Below are 21744 nucleotides of genomic sequence, written 5' to 3' on the forward strand. Positions count from 1 at the left end.
CTTAAAACAACAAAATGGAATAAGCACATTTTCTTCTTGTGGTATTCTTAGTAAAGTTGAAAAATAGTTAAGTATTCTCAGTATTCTGGAAAAGGCATTTTTCTTCTAAGAAATTTTCTTAGATCTTGTCTCATGACTGATGTTGTTCAAGAATTCTGCCCTGATTATTTTTGTTCAACATTTATTTTCTATATGCCTTAAGCAATCCTGTATGCAATTTATAAAATATCACTTACCTTTTTCTCTTTTTTAGTGGATTTTTATCTGAGATCTACAACTTATGAAGAATACAAATGATGTATATTCTTTTCTACTCTTCATGTATGGACTAGAGGGGCTTGCACAGTAGGTACTTGTCAAAATCTGTTGATTGTAACTCCAATTTCTATTTTTTTCCTTAGTAATGGGGACCTGACATTATTCATGGTGGCCCAACTAAAATATTGCATTGACTTGCCTCAGGCTCTTTTAAACTTCAATTCAATAATTTAGAATGACCTTATAAGAAAAAGATATTCCTTTTGAAGCCCAGTGGACAATCTGATGTTAATAGTAGTTGGTTGGTGGGACTTTTGAAAAGTCTTTAAAATGGTTTGTCTACTCCAGCCCTCTCATACATGATCACCATTAACATTTTGATTATTAAAATTTCTTTATAGTTATTGCATGTCCTTATAGTTATTTTCATATTACTTTCCCTTTGCAAAAGGGTCATTCTATCCTTTTTTTAAACTCCTGATTTTTTAAGATAGACAACAAACCCACAAATTATATTAAAAATGATAGAATACATTAGGTTTCCTTTTCCCTCCTAAGAGCAAAGTATTAATAATAAAAATAACAACACTTGCAGTAAGAAAAAAATGGCTGAGACCCACAGGAACAAAGAAACAGGACAGGAGTTAGATGCAGAGAAGAGATTTCAACAAAAGTTTGGAAAAGGTAAGACAAAAAAGTAGTAACTGATTTGGGAGGGTCGGGAAGGCTAAGTCTAAATTCCCAACAAGAGGAATAGTGAGGAAAAGGGGAGAGATTCATTTCCTGGAATCCCTACGATGATTGGGATGCAGGATGCCAGGTCAGCGGGAGGTGAGGTTCAGGGCTGCTAATGAAGATTAAGAGAAAGGAACAGTTCAATCTTCTATCCTCTCTTTCTGCTCCCAGATGCTAACGGTAGCATATGAGTCACAGACAGAACATTGGCACCTTTGTTTAAGAAACTGAATGTTAATGTCACATCTGCCTTTGGAGATTACAAATGAAATGGCTACCTTTCTACTGGAACCCTGACCAGAAGCCTGCCAGTTAGTAAGCTGGCTTAAGAGATCAATCTAAAATTTACATAAGGCTTTTGAAAAAAAGAAAAAAGTAAGTCTTTAAAAAAGCCAAAAGGAAACTGGTGGAATTAGAGGTAATTCGGGGGGGGGGGGGGGAACTGTAAAAAACTGTATCTTCTCATCAATGAAAGAAAATATTTGTAATCTTGAAATAAGAATATGATGTACTGAAAAAATATAGAAAAATTATTTTTGGAAGGTAAAATCAAAAAGAACAATAAAATTAATATGGCATTAAAAGAAATAAAACAAGTAGTCAAAGAAGTCATAAAAGTACAGTCTCTATGAAAGTAGAATGAAAATGTCAAAGAAATAGAAAACATGAAAGATAAAAACAAGAAACACAAGGAATCAAGTTAGGGGCAAACCATTCAACTCACACATATTCCAGGAGGACAAATTAAACAGAAGGATGGATTTAAAAGAAACAATGAAAATAAATTTCTTAGAACAGAAAAGCTTAATTTTCTCGATATGAAAGATTTACTGAATGCCCACCACAAGATTTAAAAAAAATCCCAAGGCACGTTATTATGAAATTTTATCACCTTAACGATTGAAAATATTGTAAAATTATTAAGAAAAAACCGTATAGCTCACGAATGAACAGAAATTCAAATGGCATGAGTATGCTCTGTAGCAAGCTCATCCTTAGAATACAGTGGAAAAGTTTCTCACACTGATTTTCAGGCTAGAATTCTATACAGAACAAATCTATCAGGAAGATAGAATAAAGCATATTTAATCATACAAAAATTTATAAAGTTTACTTCATAAGTACTCTCTTTTTTTGAAAGTGTGGGATAATATATCCCAGCAAAACAAGAGGAAGAAATGAGATCAATAAACTAATATATGCAATGCAGGGTGGCTAAAGCCACTTTAAAAAAAATCCCAATCTCTTTTTTCTTTCTTCATGTGAGTCAGGTAATGTATATATGTCATAAGGTTTGAGGGAGGTACATTTCACACAGGAGTGCAAAAACTCAGTCATCACGCTTATGAACTACGAAGGGATCAAAAGGCACTTTTAAGATGACAGATGTACAGTAGGCATAGGAGACAACAGAAATGGATGAAAGCAGAAGATGGAAGCCCTCCAGGTTCATAAAACAGAAAGGAGAGTGTGAAAATTTATATTATCTAATATATAGAAACATCTTAGTTGTAAAGGTACAGTCAATAAGATGAAACAAGTTGATACACTCAAGGAAGGATACATTTATAGAAAATTATATCATTTAGAGTTCCAACAGGAAGTTAATGACACACTTAATATAGGATAATTTGATAAACATTTATTTAACGAGATGCTGTCTATGAATTTATAGGTATAGAGTACCACACAGGCCAGGGGTAAGATGGGGTGGAGCTGTTTACACCATTGTGCCTGAAGGGACTGAGAGAGGGAGGAAATACAGAAACCCCAAAAAGAGATATTTATGATAGCCATTTGAAAGGAGGAATGACCTTCAGTGGGAGGTCAACCAGCATGTGGCCACATGGTCTAGCTTATTCTCCTTCATTCCCCTTTTCCAGTTTTATTGAAGTATATTTGACAAATAAGAATCATACATATTTAAATGTGCAACTTGATGTTTTGAACTATGTGTACACTGTGAAATGATCATCACACTTAAGATAATTAACATATCCATTACCTCACAGGGTTATGTTTTTCTGTGTGTGGTGTGAACCCTTAAGATCTACTCCCTTAGTACATTTCAGTTGTCCAATACAGTATTGCATTGTAATACAGACACCATGTTGTGCATTAACTCTCCAGAACTCACTCATTTTTGCATAACTGAAACTTTGTAACCTTTAGTCCATTATCTCCTCATTTCTCCCTTTCCTTTCCACTCTTGGCAACCGCCATCCTACCTTCAGTTTGAGTATTTTAGATTCCACACATAAGTGAGATCATGCAGTATTTGTCCTTCTGTAAGTTGCTTTTTAAAGGCTGAATAATACTCCATTGCATATATATACTACAATTTTCTCAGGCTTTATTGAGGTATGATTTACAAATAAAATTTGCATATATTTAGGGTATATGCATACTTATGAAATGATTACCACAACCAAGCTAATTAATATATTCATCATGTTACATCATTACCATTTGTGTATAATGTGTGTATGTGTGTGTGTTAACACTTGAGATCTACTTTCTTAGCAAATTTGAAGCTACTGTACATTTGGTCTCCAGTACTTACTCATCTTGTAGCTGAAAGTTTGTACCCTTTGACCAACATCTTTTTCCTGGCATTTCCCAGCCCCTGCTAACCACCACTCTACTGTCCATTGCTATGAGTTTGATTTTTTTAAATATTGCACCTGTATGGGATATCATGTAGTATTTGTCGTTATGTATCTGGCTTATTGCACTTAGCATAATGTCCTCCAGGTTTATCCATGTGGCAAATGGCAGGATTTCCTTCTTTTTAAGGCTGAATAATCCATTGTGTGTGTTTGTACCACATTAAAAAAATCTATGCATCTGTAGATGAACACTTAGTTTGTTTCTATATCTTGGCTAGTGTTACAATGCTGCAGTGAATTTGAGAGTGCAGATATCTCTTTAAGATAGTGGTTTTATTTCTTTTGCATACATACCTAGAAGTGGGATTGCTGTTATTATATGAGAAGTTTTTTTTTTTTTTTTTTTGAGGAGCCTACATACTGTCTTCAATAATGGTTGCACTAATTTATATCTCTACCAAAAGTTTACAAGGGTTTTGTATTAGTCCGTTCTCACACTGCTAATAAAGACATATCTGAGACTAGGTAATTTATATAGGAAAGAGGTTTAACTGACCCACATTTCAGCATGGCTGGGAAGGCCTCAGGAAACTTATAGTCACAGTCATGGTGGAAGAGGAAGCAAACATGTCTTTCTTCACATGGTGGCAAGAGAGAGAAGACTGAGAACTGAGTAAAGGATAAAGCCCCAGGTAAAGTCATCAGATCTTGTAAGAACTTACTCACTATCACTAGAATAACATGAGAAAACTGCCCCCATGATTCAATTACCTTTCACTGGGTCTCTCCCATGACATGTGAGGACTACGGGAACTATAATTCAAGATGGGATTTGGGTGGGGACACAGCCAAACCATATCAGGTTTCCTTTACATCCTTGCCAACACATGCTATCACTGGACTTTTTGATAAAAGGCAATCTAACAGGTGGTTGGTGATATCTCAGTGAGGTTTTGATTTGCCTTGATGATTTCTGATTTTGAGCATTTTTTCCATATACCTGTTGGCCATTTGTGTATCTTCTTTGGAAAAATATCTATTCAGATCCTTTGCCCATTTTATGAAATCATTTTAAAAATATCTTTTGCCCATTTAGAAGCTTGTTTGTTTGCTATTTGGTAGTATAAGTTCTGTATATATTTTGGATATTAACTCCTTATTGGATGTATGGTATACAAATATTTTCTCCCTTTCTGTAGATTTCTCTTTCATCAAACAAATAAAGATGAGACCAATATCCAGGAACTTTTCCCCATGTTTCCTCCTAGGAGTTTATGGGGCCAGGTCTTATGTTAAGTCTATAATCCACTTTGAATTAACTTTTGTGATTGGAATAAGAGAAGCACGGATTCTTTGCATGTGGATATCCAATTTCCCAACATCATTTATAGACGAGTCTGTCCTTTACATTGTATATTCTTGGTACCTTAGTTGAAAAAATTAGCTGACTGTAGGTATGTGAGTTTAGTTCTGAGCTTTCTATTCTGTTTTATTGGTATACATGTTTTTATGCCAGCAACATCTGTTTTGATTATTACAGTTTTGTAATGGAGTTGAAATCAGGAAGTTTAATACCTCTAGCTTTGTACTTATACTCAAGATTGCTTAAGCTTTTCATGCTCTTTTATGGTTGCATATGAATTTCAGAATTATTTTTTCCATTGCTGTGAAAAATGTTCATTGCCATTTTGATCGGGATTGCGTTGAATGTACAGATCATTTTCAGTAGTATGGACTTTTTAACAATATTAATTCTTCCAGTTCATGAATATGGGATATGTTTCACTTATTTTTGTCTTCCACAATTTATTTCATTAATCTTTTATACTTTTCAGTGTACAGATATTCTACCTCTTTAGTTAAATTTATTTGTAAGTATTTTATTCTTTTTGCTGTGCTCATAATGATAACTTTTTCTTGACTTTTTCTTTCTATAGATCATTATTGGTGTAAAGAAATGCAACTGAATTTTTCTGTTGATTTTGTAGTCTGCAAAATTACTGAATTTGCTTATTAGTTCTAACAGTTTTTTAGTGGAGTCTTCAGGATTCTTTCTACATAGGATCATGCCATCTTCTAACAGAGACACTAACTTTTTTATTTGGATGCACTTTATTTCTTTTTCCTAATTACTTTGGTTATGACGTCCAGTACTATGTTGAATGGAAGTGGGGAGAGTGGTCTTGTTCTTGATCTTAGAGGGAAACATTTCAATTTCTCATCGAGTATAATGTTTATCATAGGCTTGTGATATACAGGCTTTATTGTGTTGAGGTACATTCCTATAATTAATTTGTTGAAAATTTTGTATTGTGAAAGAATGTTGAATTTTGTCAAATGATTTTTCTGCATTTGTTTAGATGATCTCATGGTTTTTATTTCTTATTCTGTTAATGTGGTGTAGCACATTTGTTGATTGTGTATGTTGGATAATTCTTACATCCCAGGAATAAATCCTACTTTGTCGTGATGCAAAATCTTTTTAATGTCCTGGTATATTTGGTTTGCCAGTAGTTTGTTGAGGATTGTTGGACCTTTGTTCACAAGGGACATTGGCCTATAATCTATATTTCTTGTTGGTGTCCTTATCTGGGTTTGGTATGAAGGCAGCGTTGGCATTGTAAAATGAGTTTTAAAATATCCCCTCCTCTTCAACTTTTTGGAAGGATTTTAGAAGGATAGGTATTAGTTCTTTTCAAAATATTTGGTAGAATTCAACTATGAAGCCATCAGGTCCTAGGATTTTCTTTGATAGGAGATTTTATTATTGATTCAATCTCCTTACTCATTACTGTTAAGATTTTCTAGCTTTTCATGATTCAGTCTTGTAGGCTGTATGTGTCTAGGAATTTATCCATTTCTTCTAGGCTATCCAATCTTTTGACTTGTAATGGTTCATAGTATTATCTTATGATTCTTTATATTTTTTGTAGCATCAGTTGTAATGTTTCCTTTTTCATTTTGGCTTTTATTTATTTAAGTCTATTTTTTCTCAGTGTAGATCAAGTATTGTTGATTTTATTTATATTTCCAAAAATCAATCTTAGTTTCATGATCTTTTCTACTGTTTCTCTAGTCTCACTTTCATTGATTTCTTTTCTAATCTTTGTTATGTCCTTTTTTTCTAACTTTGGGCTTAGTTTGTTCTTTTTTTAGTTCATTGAGCTGTAATGTTAGGTTGTTAATTTGAGACCTTTCGTCTTTTTTTTGTAAACATTTATTACTATACATTTCTCCCTTAAAACTACTTTTGCTGCATCTCATACCTTTTTGTATGTCATGTCCATTTTCATGTGTCTCAAGATATTTTTACATTTACCTTTTGACTTCTTTTTTTGGCCCATTGGTGGTTGTTTAATTTCCATATGTACATGAATTTTCCAGTTTTCCTGTTATTATTGATTTTAGTTTCATACCACTATGGTCAGAAAATATATCTGATATGATTTCAGTCTTCTGAAATTTGTTAAGACTTGTTTGTGGCTTAACATACAATCTGTCCAGGAGAATATTCTGTGTAAGCTTGAGAAGAATGTGTGTTCTGCTGTTGGATCAAATATTCCGTGTATGTCTATTAGATTCATTTAGTCTGAAGTAGTTCAAGACAATGTTTTCTTAATAATATTCTTTCTGGATGATTTATCCATTGTTGAAAATCAGATATTAAAGTTCTCTATTAATATTGCATTGCAGTCTATCTCTTGCTTTAGATTTGTTAATATTTGCTTTATATATTTAGGTGCTCTGATGTTGGGTGTATTCATATTTATAACTGTTCTATTATCTTGATGAATTGACTTTTTTACCAACATCTAATGACCTTCTTTGTCTCTTGTGACAGTATTTAAAGTCTATTTTGTGTGATACACATGTAACTGCTACTGCTCTTTTTTGGTTTTCATTTTCATGGAATATTTTTGTTTTTTATCCCTTTACTTTTAGTCTATGTGTGTTATTAAAGGTGAAGTGAGTTTCTTGTAGGCAGCATTTAGTTGGATCTTATTTTTATAAATCAATTCAGCCACTTTTTGTCTTTTGATTGACAAAATTTGCTTATTTATAGTTGGTAAGTAAAGATTTATTATTGTCAATTTATTGTTTTCTGGTTGCTTTGTAGGTCCTTTATTCCTTTATTACTCCTTTGTTGTTTTCCTTTGTGATTTGATCATTTTCCTCGGTGGTATGCTTTGATTCTTTTCTGTTTATCTTTTGTGTATTTACTATAGGTTTTTAATTTGTGGTTGCCATGAGGCTTACATAAATATTCTTATTGTTTAACCAATTCACTTAAAGACGATAACATCTTCACTTTGATTGCTAAAGAAGCTCTGTACTTTTACTTCCCTTCTCTTACATTGTGCTTTTGATGTTACAGTTTACATTTTTTATATGTCTTAAGAATTTATTATAGCTATAGTCATTTTTCATACATTCATCTTATAACTTTATAATGATGTTGTGATTTACACCACCACCATTATGGTGCTTGAATATTCTAAATTTAACCATATATATACTTTACCAGTTAGTTTTATATTTTTATATGTTTTAATGTTACTAATTAGCTGCCTTTTATTTAATCTTAAAAATCCCCCTTTAGCATTTCTTGTAAGGCAAGCAATAGTGAAGACTCACTCAACTTTTCTTTTTTTTTTCTAAAAAAGTCTTTATCTTCTTCATTTCTGAAGGACAGCTTTGCTGGCAAAATATTGCTGGTTGGCAGTTTTATTTTTCTTCCATTGCTTTGAATATATTATTTCATTCTCTCCTGATCCTCAAGGTTCCTGCTGAGAAATCCACTGATAGCTTTATTTGGGTCCTTTTTTATATGACATGATTCTTTTCTCTTGCTGCTTACAAGCTTCTCTCTTTGTTTTTGATTTTTGCCAGGTTGATGATAATGTATGTTTGTGGATTCTTTTTTTGGTTGAATTGACTGGAGAACTTTAGGCTTCATGCATCTGGATGCTCATTTCTTTCCTGACATTTGCTAAGTTTCCTATGATTATTTCCTTAAATAAGCTTTCTATCTAATGCTCTCTCTATTTTTCTTCTGAACCTACTATAATTCTAATGTTAGCTCTCTTGATAGTATTCCATGGCTTCTGTAGGTTTTATTCTTTTTTTTCTTTTATCTCCACTTACCGGATGATTTAAAATGCTCGGTCTTTGAGTTCACTTATTTTTTTATTCTGCTTCACTTAGTCTGATGTTCAAGCCTCTATTACATTTTTTTAGTTTAGCTGTTGTATTTTTCAGCTCCAACATTTCTGTTTGGTTCTTTTTAAAATATTTTCTGTCTCTTTATTGAGCTTCTCATTTTGTTCTTGGATTGTCTTCCTGATTTCATTAAACTATTTATTTGTGTTCTCTTGTAGTTCCCCAAGATTCCTTAGGCAATTATTTTGATTTTTTCCAGGCAATTTATAGATCTCCAATTCTTTGGGGTTGGTTACTAGAAATTAATTTTGTTCCTTTGGTGGTGTCATGTTTTCCTGCTTCTTTGTGATCTTTGGGTGTTGATTTTGTCAGTGACTAAACCTGCTGGAGTCCTCTGTGGAGTTAAGTACTATAGTTTGTGCAATGATAATTGTGGGTTCCTTGGTAGTAAAAGCAGTGTGGTATGTGCAGCTGATAATGACAGGAGACAGACAGATTCCTAGGCAGACAGGGATAAGTCCCTGGTGAATCCCAACCTTCAAGCCAAAGACAACCTGAGGCCTGAAAACCAAGCCGCCAGTTCCAGGTGGAGTCCACGACCCAACTGAGAACTTCCTCAGTGCCTTTTAGTCAATTAAATGGTGCTTTTTCCAGGCCTGCCCATGAACCAATCAGCACAGATTCCTCCATTCTGAGCCCATAAAAACCCCAGACTCAGCCTCACAGATGGCTCTCTGCTTTCAGCCCCACTCTTACACAGAGGGCTGCCCACTTTGGCTACTCTCTTGTTGTCAAGAGCTTTTCTGCCGCTCAATAAAAATCTCATCAGCCTTGCTCACTCTGCGGTGTCTGCATGCTTCATTCCTGTTGGTTGCAGGACAAGAATCCAGGATCCACTGAACAGTGGGTGCGAAAAGAGCTGTAAGATACACCTCCTGTTCACCAAGCTACAGAAGTGAAAAAAAAATGCTGGGTGCCACAAGTCCCCAATTGCTGAGCTGTGGGCAGCAGGACTGAATGAGCTGTGACACATCCCCATTTGCTGAAACTGCCAGCAGTGAGAACGAACAAGAGCTGTAACACTTCCTGGGGGCTCAGACCTTGACTCCCAGAGCAAAAGCTGTAACACCTCTTCGGGCTCCACAGTTGCTGGCATCTCTGAGTTTTTGGGCACTGCTGCATCCCCCTTATCCAGATGCCAGCGCTCAAGGCAGAAGTCAGTCATAGCATGCCCAAACCAACCGTGGGCTGAGCACTGAGCTACGGTGGGTGTCATGGCATCTGGGTGAGTGAGCATGAGTGGAGCACAGCCTGCCAGGCCAAATGAGCAGGACGAGCTCAGAGGGCCTGAGTGAAGCCTCAGCAGAGGCTCTGCTGGCCATCGAGATTTCCACTTGGCAAAGTGGCCCTCAAAGAATCCTGTGTCACATCCATGAGGGCTGTTGAGGTCCTTGGTATAGAAGGCTACCAGAATTCCGCTCAGATCAGGCTACTGGGGACTGCATTGATTCCTACCACAGGACTGATACTGATAGACCTCATCATTTCTCTTTCTTACCAGCAGTTTACAGATTTCTCTCCTATGTTGGTCTCCCTAGCAATCTGGGATGGGTGAAACTTAAGCTGGTTGTTTGGGCAATGCTCCAGTAGGCTGGGTAAGATGGTTCACTCCACTCTTCTTTTCTCTGCAAGGGGAACTTGCAAGCTGAGCAGTGACCTCTCCATACTGAGCACTGCCAGCCTGAGGAAGATGACGCAGGCAAAATGAAACTGTTTTTTCTACCATTTTTTTGTGTTTTTTCTTGAAGTTTTTCTGTCTGCTCTGTTGTTTTAACTTCTGAAGTAGATTCCTGATCTCTGCTAGATATTTTCATTTGTGGATATTTGCCCAGTTGTTGTTCCTTTAGGAGGAATAAAGACTGAGATCACCTACTCTGCCATTCTAGCTGATGTCTAACACATTTTCTTTGTTCATCTGTCTATGGACTTTTAGGCTGTTTCCATATCTTGGCTTTTGTGAATAATGCTGTAGTAAACATGGGTGTAAAGGTATCTCTTTGAGGTTCTGATTTCAATTCTTTTGGACATATTCCTAAAAGTGGGATTGCTGAATCATATAATAATTTTGTTTTTAATGTTTTGAGGAACTGACACATTATTTTTCATAGTGACTGCACCATTTTCTATTTCCACCAAAAGTGTATAGGAGTTTCAATTCCCTAAATTCTAGCCAACACTTCTTTTGTTTTTTGATAATAGCCATGCTAATAGGCATGAGGCAATATCTCATTGGTGTTTGGATATGCATTTCCTTAACAACTAGTGATGCTGAACATATTTGCTTATACCTGTTGGCCATTTGTGTATTTCCTCTGAGAAATGTCTTCAAGTTTTTCACCCACTTTGAAATTGCATTATTATCATTATTATTTTTGCCATAGTATGACTGATTTTTAAGTGCTTCTTATATAATGGAGTTATTTAAATTTATTTTTTTCTGTTCATTATTTGCCTGTTAAATTTGTCTTTATTTTCTAGTAATTTTAAATTGTTTTAATTTCTAACATTTTCCCCTATATTTGTGTTTGCCATTGATAAATTTTAAATTTCATTATCAAATATGCTATAACTCTTTTCTTATTGTTTTTCCTTCATAGGGGCAGGATATACTTAAAAGTTTTTATTTATTCCAAAATAATTTAAATAGTCTCTCTATGTTTCTAGTAATTAAAAAAATTACTCCTTTGCAATTTATGTTAAGTATAAGTTATAAAATATAATTCTTTTAAAAAATCTGGTTAACCAGTTGTTCCAGCACAACTTATTTTGTCCTCTGGGACAATAGAATTGAAAATGCACGTCATACTCTAGAGAGCACATATTGTACATCGTAGCATTTTCCACCCCTAATCCTGGGAAATTCGCCATTTTTCTTACTTCTTCTGTGAAACTCAAAAGTTGTGTTTCTGTGCTCTTTGGATGAAGTGCAAATCAACTTTTAAATTATTCCCTCAGGGCTTATGTTCCTACTTGGCTTCTCCTGGCCTCCAGAGGATTGATTTTTGTAGTTACAGCTCATGCTGCTAGTTAGTTTACTGTTACATCAGGGCAGAAACTGATGCATACCAACATGTACCCAGGATAAAGTCCTCCACTGCGGGTGGTGGAAGAGGCTTCTTCTACCTCCTCCCCATAGTTCCTGAAGGCACCAAGACTGTCACAGTAATTGGTAGGTGGAATGTTGTTATAACATTTACATAAACCATCCTATTTTTGAGACAGTAGGACAGATAATAATGATGGGAATAACTATGTAAAATGCTCAGAGATCAGTGGTAAGAAACAGAAAGCAGCATGTAAGGAAATGTCTTAGGGAACTGTGATGATAGTATAGAGTAGGTTTTAGCTGTGGAGTGGGTGGACAAATTGTTTCTTTTCAGCCTTGGTCTCAATAATTAAAGCATTTTAAAGTCAGGGTTGAACAGGGCATTGAAGAGACAGCTTCATCATTTTATACTCATAGGATGAATCATTTCTAAGCAAGCTCAGAGAAGGCTGTTTTGATTTATGGGTCTTCAGAGCGTGACAGATTATTAAAATAAACTTCCAAAATTTTGAATCCTTTTACTCCTGGAAGAAAGTCAGGAAAACCGCAAGATCTTTAGTTACTTCTTTTTATTTTTATTTTTATTTTTATTTTATTTTATTTTTTTATACTTTAAGTTTTAGGGTACATGTGCACATTGTGCAGGTTAGTTACATATGTATACATGTGCCATGCTGGTGCCCTGCACCCACTAACTCGTCATCTAGCATTAGGTATATCTCCCAGTGCTATCCCTCCCCCCTCCGCCCACCCCACCACAGTCCCCAGAGTGTGATATTCCCCTTCCTGTGTCCATGTGATCTCATTGTTCAATTCCCACCTATGAGTGAGAATATGCGGTGTTTGGTTTTTTGTTCTTGCGATAGTTTACTGAGAATGATGATTTCCAGTTTCATCCATGTCCCTACAAAGGACATGAACTCATCATTTTTTGTGGCTGCATAGTATTCCATGGTGTATATGTACCACATTTTCTTAATCCAGTCTATCATTGTTGGACATTTGGGTTGGTTCCAAGTCTTTGCTATTGTGAATAATGCCGCAATAAACATACGTGTGCATGTGTCTTTATAGCAGCATGATTTATAGTCATTTGGGTATATACCCAGTAATGGGATGGCTGGGTCAAATGGTATTTCTAGTTCTAGATCCCTGAGGAATCGCCACACTGACTTCCACAATGGATGAACTAGTTTACAGTCCCACCAACAGTGTAAAAGTGTTCCTATTTCTCCACATCCTCTCCAGCACCTGTTGTTTCCTGACTTTTTAATGATTGCCACTCTAACTGGTGTGAGATGGTATCTCATTGTGGTTTTGATTTGCATTTCTCTGATGGCCAGTGATGATGAGCATTTTTTCATGTGTTTTTTGGCTGCATAAATGTCTTCTTTTGAGAAGTGTCTGTTCATGTCCTTCGTCCACTTTTTGATGGGGTTGTTTGTTTTTTTCTTGTAAATTTGTTTGAGTTCATTGTAGATTCTGGATATTAGCCCTTTGTCAGATGAGTAGGTTGCGAAAATTTTCTCCCATTTTGTAGGTTGCCTGTTCACTCTGATGGTAGTTTCTTTTGCTGTGCAGAAGCTCTTTAGTTTAATTAGATCCCATTTGTCAATTTTGGCTTTTGTTGCCATTGCTTTTGGTGTTTTAGACATGAAGTCCTTGCCCATGCCTATGTCCTGAATGGTCATGCCTAGGTTTTCTTCTAGGGTTTTTATGGTTTTAGGTCTAACGTTTAAATCTTTAATCCATCTTGAATTGATTTTTGTATAAGGTGTAAGGAAGGGATCCAGTTTCAGCTTCCTACATATGGCTAGCCAGTTTTCCCAGCACCATTTATTAAATAGGGAATCCTTTCCCCATTGCTTGTTTTTGTCAGGTTTGTCAAAGATCAGATAGTTGTAGGTACGCGGCATTATTTCTGAGGGCTCTGTTCTGTTCCATTGATCTATATCTCTGTTTTGGTACCAATACCATGCTGTTTTGGTTACTGTAGCCTTGTAGTATAGTTTGAAGTCAGGTAGTGTGATGCCTCCAGCTTTGTTCTTTTGGCTTAGGATTGACTTGGCAATGCGGGCTCTTTTTTGGTTCCATATGAACTTTAAAGTAGTTTTTTCCAATTCTGTGAAGAAAGTCATTGGTAGCTTGATGGGGATGGCATTGAATCTGTAAATTACCTTGGGCAGTATGGCCATTTTCACGATATTGATTCTTCCTACCCATGAGCATGAAATGTTCTTCCATTTGTTTGTATCCTCTTTTATTTCCTTGAGCAGTGGTTTGTAGTTCTCCTTGAAGAGGTCCTTCACATCCCTTGTAAGTTGGATTCCTAGGTATTTTATTCTCTTTGAAGCAATTGTGAATGGGAGTTCACTCATGATTTGGCTCTCTGTTTGTCTGTTGTTGGTGTATAAGAATGCTTGTGATTTTTGTACATTGATTTTGTATCCTGAGACTTTGCTGAAGTTGCTTATCAGCTTAAGGAGATTTTGGGCTGAGACAATGGGGTTTTCTAGATATACAATCATGTCGTCTGCAAACAGGGACAATTTGACTTCCTCTTTTCCTAATTGGATACCCTTTATTTCCTTCTCTTGCCTAATTGCCCTGGCCAGAACTTCCAACACTATGTTGAATAGGAGTGGTGAGAGAGGGCATCCCTGTCTTGTGCCAGTTTTCAAAGGGAATGCTTCCAGTTTTTGCCCATTCAGTATGATATTGGCTGTGGGTTTGTCATAGATAGCTCTTATTATTTTGAAATACGTCCCATCAATACCTAATTTATTGAGAGTTTTTAGCATGAAGGGTTGTTGAATTTTGTCAAAGGCTTTTTCTGCATCTATTGAGATAATCATGTGGTTTTTGTCTTTGGTTCTGTTTATATGCTGGATTACATTTATTGATTTGCGTATACTGAACCAGCCTTGCATCCCAGGGATGAAGCCCACTTGATCATGGTGGATAAGCTTTTTGATGTGCTGCTGGATTCGGTTTGCCAGTATTTTATTGAGGATTTTTGCCTCAATGTTCATCAAGGATGTTGGTCTAAAATTCTCTTTTTTGGTTGTGTCTCTGCCCGGCTTTGGTATCAGAATGATGCTGGCCTCATAAAATGAGCTAGGGAGGATTCCCTCTTTTTCTATTGATTGGAATAGTTTCAGAAGGAATGGTACCAGTTCTTCCTTGTACCTCTGGTAGAATTCGGCTGTGAATCCATCTGGTCCTGGACTCTTTTTGGTTGGTAAGCTATTGATTATTGCCACAATTTCAGCTCCTGTTATTGATCTATTCAGAGATTCAACTTCTTCCTGGTTTAGTCTTGGGAGAGTGTATGTGTCGAGGAATTTATCCATTTCTTCTAGATTTTCTAGTTTATTTGCATAGAGGTGTTTGTAGTATTCTCTGATGGTAGTTTGTATGTCTGTGGGATCGGTGGTGATATCCCCTTTATCATTTTTTATTGTGTCTATTTGATTCTTCTCTCTTTTTTTCTTTATTAGTCTTGCTAGCGGTCTATCAATTTTGTTGATCCTTTCAAAAAACCAGCTCCTGGATTCGTTGATTTTTTGAAGGGTTTTTTGTGTCTCTATTTCCTTCAGTTCTGCTCTGATTTTAGTTATTTCTTGCCTTCTGCTAGCTTTTGAATGTGTTTGCTCTTGCTTTTCTAGTTCTTTTAATTGTGATGTTAGGGTGTCAATTTTGGATCTTTCCTGCTTTCCCTTGTGGGCATTTAGTGCTATAAATTTCCCTCTACACACTGCTTTGAATGCGTCCCAGAGATTCTGGTATGTTGTGTCTTTGTTCTCGTTGGTTTCAAAGAACATCTTTATTTCTGCCTTCATTTCGTTATGTACCCAGTAGTCATTCAGGAGCAGGTTGTTCAGTTTCCATGTAGTTGAGCGGCTTTGAGTGAGATTCTTAATCCTGAGTTCTAGTTTGATTGCACTGTGGTCTGAGAGATAGTTTGTTATAATTTCTGTTCTTTTACATTTGCTGAGGAGAGCTTTACTTCCAACTATGTGGTCAATTTTGGAATAGGCATGGTAGTTACTTCTTATAGTTCTTCAGGATGATCTCTGTGAAGAGGAAGGGAAAGGTGAGGCTTGAAATATTTCATTTCAAAGGGATTAGTGTTAGTAGTAGCAAAAACTTTGAAAATAAATAGAAAAGCAAAAAAGAAACTTAAAAGCAAAGAGACTCTTACTTGAAATAAATGTGGGTGAAATATGTATTTTAACAAAAAGGATTCCAAAAAGCAAAATTAGGAATTATGTAGCAGAGTAGGGAAAGAAGAAATGAATTAATAAAAACAATTAGATGTTGTGGTGTTTAATTTTTGTCAAAGTCTACTGATCTATTTATTCAATAAAAAATCCATGTAATCATCCCATCCATCCATCCATTTAACAAACACATATTGAAGACCATAACATGCTAGGAACTACTTTAGGCAGTAGATATATAAATGAGACATACTCCATGACCTCAAGGAGCTCAGAGTTCCTGTTATATTTTGCAAAATACAAACTGAAAAATTACAATGTAATGAGTTAAAATTTGTACTGGAGGTGTAAACAGTACTATTATGGGAGCCATAAAAATATGACATTTTTATGGAACTTATATATACAAAATTCATACAAAATTTCAGGCATTTTAGAAAACAAGCTTCTGAGAATAGCTGAAGGATTTAAAAATAGTGATACATCAACAATGTAACAGGACTGTGGGTCTGGGAAAAATGTGGGGAGCATTATATGCATTAATCACTACAATACCTGTGAAGTAGGTACTGTTATTATTTCCATTGCACTAATGAGGCACACTGAGGCAGAGGTAAGTGAGTTGCCCAGGATTACACAGCTAGTAAGTGCTTAGCTGTGGTTAGAATGAAGGCACTGAGAAATAAAATAAAAATGAAACCCTTAGCTCCCCAAGCTACTGAATGGACCCTCTCTTGGCCAAGGGCACCCCAGAGTAACCTTAAAAGCTGAGTTTTCATCCATGACAAGATGGGCGGTCAGAGGTGCCTTCTTACATCCCCGCCCTCACTTAACTACCATTAGACTTTCCTACCTAAGTGCTAAATAGAAACCAGCTCTTTTGAAAGACTCCACTGCTGATATCAACAAATCACTGAAGCAGTCCCTCTTTTTTTGTGGTTTTAACATGGCAATTAACCAGCATTCCTTCCTGATAAGAGACCAACTATATGCTACTCATGAAGGGGCATGAAGCACAATTGTGCATGTGCATGGTTGTCCTTTCATAAATATTCAAGATTCCTCCTATAGCTTATTGAGCATATGTATTTGGCCACCTCACTCAGTACATATTCCTTTTGACACTGTCTCGAAATATTTGTTTCTGGCTCCTGGCCAGAGGCTATATTTCCCAGCCTGTCATAATAGCCACCCTTCAGGCTACAACTCTATGAGAAATAAAGGTCCTCCTTTCCAAATTTATGAACCCCATCATTCTTCAGTTGATAGCACTGACACCCCATATCTAAGTATATTAAAAGAGAAATAAGCTGCAAATATATATAATATATAAATATGTAATATATGGAAATATATGATATATACATATTTATATATAATTTATATTATATATAAAATATATTTTAATATACTTTAATATATTCAAGTAAATTAAAAGAATATATTAATAGTTGTATATAAAATAAGTATTTTAATATACTTTAATAATGTTAATGTATATACTATATATTTTAATATACTTTAATAACATTAAAGTGTATTATTAAATATAATAATATATTAAAGTATATTAAAAGAGAAATAAGCAGCAAATGATCTTCAAAATAGTCTCATTGAGATCAGCCCTTCTCTTATCCTAATGGTTTCTTCTTGCCTAGTTTACTGTGGGCAACAATGCATACAGAAAATCAATGTAATAACTACATCTTGATATTTTCTGCTACTGGTTTATTTATGACACTCGAGGTCCCTTGGCTACCTATACCCATCTATATGGTGAAGATGCTTCTGTATACTCCTTCCTCACCATCCCACAGAATAAGTGAGCTCCATATCCTAAAAATAGGAAAATTAATTTGCATTCTTTCTAAGTGTTGTATATATCCACAATGGTGATGATATCACTGTTTCTCCCTATTGCTACCCAAATCATTCTTAATTTACCTTTCTGAGAATTTTACTCTCAACCTACTTTTACTTTAACGGAATCATAGGATTTTAGAGGTAGAACATTTCTTAAAATTCTAGTTAAAATCCCTCCTTTTGCTATGAAGAAACTGTCATAGAGGAAGATCTCACGACCTCAACATCACGCAGATTCTTGTTTTCTCCCAAAGCATTGCTTCTCTTGAGAAGATTTCACAGTTCACTCACCGACAGGGAATGCACCTGTACTCCTAGGTATTTCCATAGTCATCCTCTAGGTACTACATCCCTGTAGATTAAGAATGGGAATTTTCTAGATGTTGTTAAAAGAGGAGCAGAAGCTTAGGAGGAGTAGGTGGGTGGATGTAAGATGAAGTAAATCTTCTTAAGGAACTTATCCAACCACTGCTCTAAGAGTAAGGACTGATTTGGAATAGTCATCCCCTCCTCAATGGCAACCTTAGAAAAAAATGCCCTAAGTCAATCTTCATGAGTGGCTTATCTCCCCCAAGAATTTCCCATAAACATAATTGCTTGCTTTGGGTTTTTTTGGTACAATTCCCAGCTTTTCTTGGAGTGTTACAGTGCATACCCAAGTATGTATAGTTTATTTAGCCCAATTTTATTAAGGACGTGGTATGGGCTGGATGAACCTCATTTTAGACACAGAAGATAGGAAAACAATATTTTTAAATTGCCATTGTGGAGTTCAAATTCCAGCTGCCTTTGGTAGTATGACAATAGCAACATATGATCCATTGATAAACCCTGGAGTTGCATCTCCTAAATATTTTCTAAACAAATTATTATTCTCTTCAAATAGTTATTGCTGTATTGTTAGTTTAAGCCATATATATATATATATATATTCTTGTAATGTTGTCTTACTCTGATTTATTCACATAGCAGCCAGGGTGATATTTCTAAATTGCAAATTGTATTAAGCTATTCTCCCGAGTTTTATTGTAAAACATATTGAAAGAAAATTGGAAATCCAATTTTATTATTGTGGGCTACATTACTTGGTCTTTGACTAACTCTTTATTTTGTTCTTATGCTTCTACCAGTTGTGGGTCTTCTACAGTTCTTAGAAAGTCTTTCATGACACAAGGCCTTTTCATTTACTATTCTCTATTCCTAAAATGCTTTTCTTCAAACTTTCAAAGTTAGAAAAACGTCACCAACTCAGAACCTTTTCTAAAATACTCCATCACACACATACCACTCCCATCATTATTTACTCTACCATTGCCTTTTTATTTCCTGCTTGTCTTTTAGCACTAGTAGCAATTATTTTATTTTACTTATTTATATTTTATTTTATTTTTATTTGTTTACTTATTTATTGTCTGTCTATATTTTCAGAATGGAAGTTTGATGAGGCAGATATTGAGTGTTCCTTGTTCATTGTTGTGTCTCAGCAGGTAGCATATAGTAGATACTCTCTAAATGTTTGCGGGATAAACAAATGAATAGTTTACAGAAGTGACACAGAAGCTATATATTTAGGAATAGACTTTTTAATATCACATGTAGATAGCTTTGTTTTGACATGTGTTAAATGACAAGTGCTGGACAGAATAAGAATTGTTGCGTCATTTATGGTATTTTAGGTAATGGTTATGTTAATGTAGGGAAACTAGGTGCTTGTTCTTCCTTGAAGTGACATGGTGTAGTGGTGTGTGTGTGTGTGTGTGTGTGTGTGTGTGTGTGTGTGATGAGTAGTGGCTGAGCATTACTAGCTTTGGGAGTAGGGGGTTTGATTGGCTGCCTGACTATTGGATTGAGATGCTCCAGCAAAATATTTCTTTTCCACTTGACACTTGTGAAGGGTGGAGGACAGAGACACTCATCAAGGAGTGTGGAGGGATGAATCCTTTGTATTTTTGTCCTAAGGAATAAATGTGGTTGATTTTGGTTCTTAATGCAAAGTATATACATCATTAGTTTCTAATTTTATGTCATATGTTGAACACTGAGGTACAAAAGAAAATCTCTTTGACACTTTTTTCTGGTAAAATCACCCTTTCTATTCCATAATACCTGATGTATGTCTGTCTTTTCAAGACATCAACACTCATTCACCTAAATTCTTTCTAGATTAGTGCCATTTTCTACTTCTGTTTTGGTGGAATGGGTATGGAGTAGAGCAGAGGAAGAAGGGGTGATTTGTGTGACGACACTCAGAATCATTGCATCATGTCCCCATAATAATAAAAAAGCATATGATCTTGTAATGGTATTTACTGCTTTAAAATATTCATCTCCTTTCAATAATAAAGGGACAATTATTTACTTAGGAACAAATAATCGCTTCCATCTGGTCAAAAACTACATAGCATAATAGCAAAATATGTAAATGAGCTGAGTAATCATAATATTTCAGATGCTTTTGTTAGAAATTTATTTGATTGTTGGAACCTCATAGTTGACTTATCAGTGAATGTAAATGAGTTAGTATATAACTAGCTCATAGCCCTCATAACTAATAACACAATGTTGTGTTATTAGTTATGAGGGCTATGAGCTGCCTCCTCCAGGTAAGTACAATAAGATCATTGTTTCTTGGAATGTTAGGAAATATTTCATTCTGGATAACCTTATTATCTTTCTTTTGATTAAAATCTTCCTAAACCAAATTTTAAATTTTTCAATCTTATTAAATATGCTTCATTAACTCACTGAGGTCCACACTGGGCAATTTATGGGCAAGGGGAAATTGATCCCTTTTCTAAATAGTCCCACACTATTCAATTTCTGAGTATTTTTACCTTTCTTCTGCTTGCTACCAGATTCCTGGAAAACACTGGTTTTATGTGTGTGTGTCTGCTTGTAGTAAGCCATCCCTTTTTCAAAATACAATGCTTCTATAAGATATTGAAAGTCATTTATCTATGTTTGTTAAAATTATGTATAAATTGAGTCAGTAGGTTCCAAAAATGGCGCATTTAATTTCTTTTCTCAGTAGTATACATAGTGCCCATAAGTGTTTGGACACAGCCACGTCTATTTGGTTTTACAGAACCTTAACTTTTTAAAAATTCCTTTCCATATTTAATTTTTTTAAGTAATAGGAGAGGCAATATCATAAAATATCACATCAACAGAAAAGAAACAACTCTCTTGTATTTGCTGTTGGTTACAACAAAACTTACTTTGGTGTGGCAGTTTTTAACCTTACTTAAAGAAAAGCATATTTGGTAATGTGAACTGTTATTTCATTTTTATTTGACAAGTTTTGTGCTACTTAGTGGTGTCAGATTCAATACAGGGCAGTAAGCAAAATTTTAAAAATAATATTATTCCCATTGTCACCTTGAAACAGCAGAGCAGATCAGCTCAGAATCAAATTGGGTAGCAAGCATACTCATTTCTCAGATCAGTACACCTACTTACGTTCCTGCTGTGGTGAGCAAATTTTATACTCAATGTAGTATCAGGTATTGATGAATCTGGTCACAGCTAGAAGAATTTTTTATATAAGGCCTTGCATAGCTGTATGTTGTGGCTGGTTACCTGTTACCAAGGATTAAGCTGTACAGTTTTTGGTTATAGTTATGGAAAAATATGTCCCTTCACTACTTATGAAGCCTTGGGATCTCTTTTCTGTATCACAACTAAAGTACTGCTAGATCTGTGTGTGTGCTATTAGAATGCAAGCCTAAGTTTCCAGGTTGGCAAGATTTCCCAACAAAAAAAAAGATATAGAAAAAAGAGGCCACATCTC

At 35.3% G+C, this 21744-nt stretch overlaps 1 long non-coding RNA gene and 1 other non-coding gene across 2 annotated transcripts in view; one reads left to right on the forward strand and one right to left on the reverse strand.

The window, feature by feature from the left end:
• Window positions 1-21744, forward strand: part of LINC02203 (long intergenic non-protein coding RNA 2203) — an 87749-nt gene that overhangs the window by 63104 nt on the left and 2901 nt on the right. The window contains exons 6-8 of the long non-coding RNA NR_015416.2: window positions 254-349; window positions 854-942; window positions 1165-1368. This is a non-coding gene — a long non-coding RNA (long intergenic non-protein coding RNA 2203). The remainder of the gene's footprint in view (window positions 1-253; window positions 350-853; window positions 943-1164; window positions 1369-21744) is intronic.
• Window positions 2255-2355, reverse strand: LOC124903610 (small nucleolar RNA U13). The gene has a single exon (XR_007064835.1). It is a non-coding gene; the product is annotated as a small nucleolar RNA U13 (small nucleolar RNA).

The sequence above is a fragment of the Homo sapiens genome, chromosome 15, assembly GCF_000001405.40.
Source record: "Homo sapiens chromosome 15, GRCh38.p14 Primary Assembly".
NCBI classification, from domain to species: domain Eukaryota; kingdom Metazoa; phylum Chordata; class Mammalia; order Primates; family Hominidae; genus Homo; species Homo sapiens.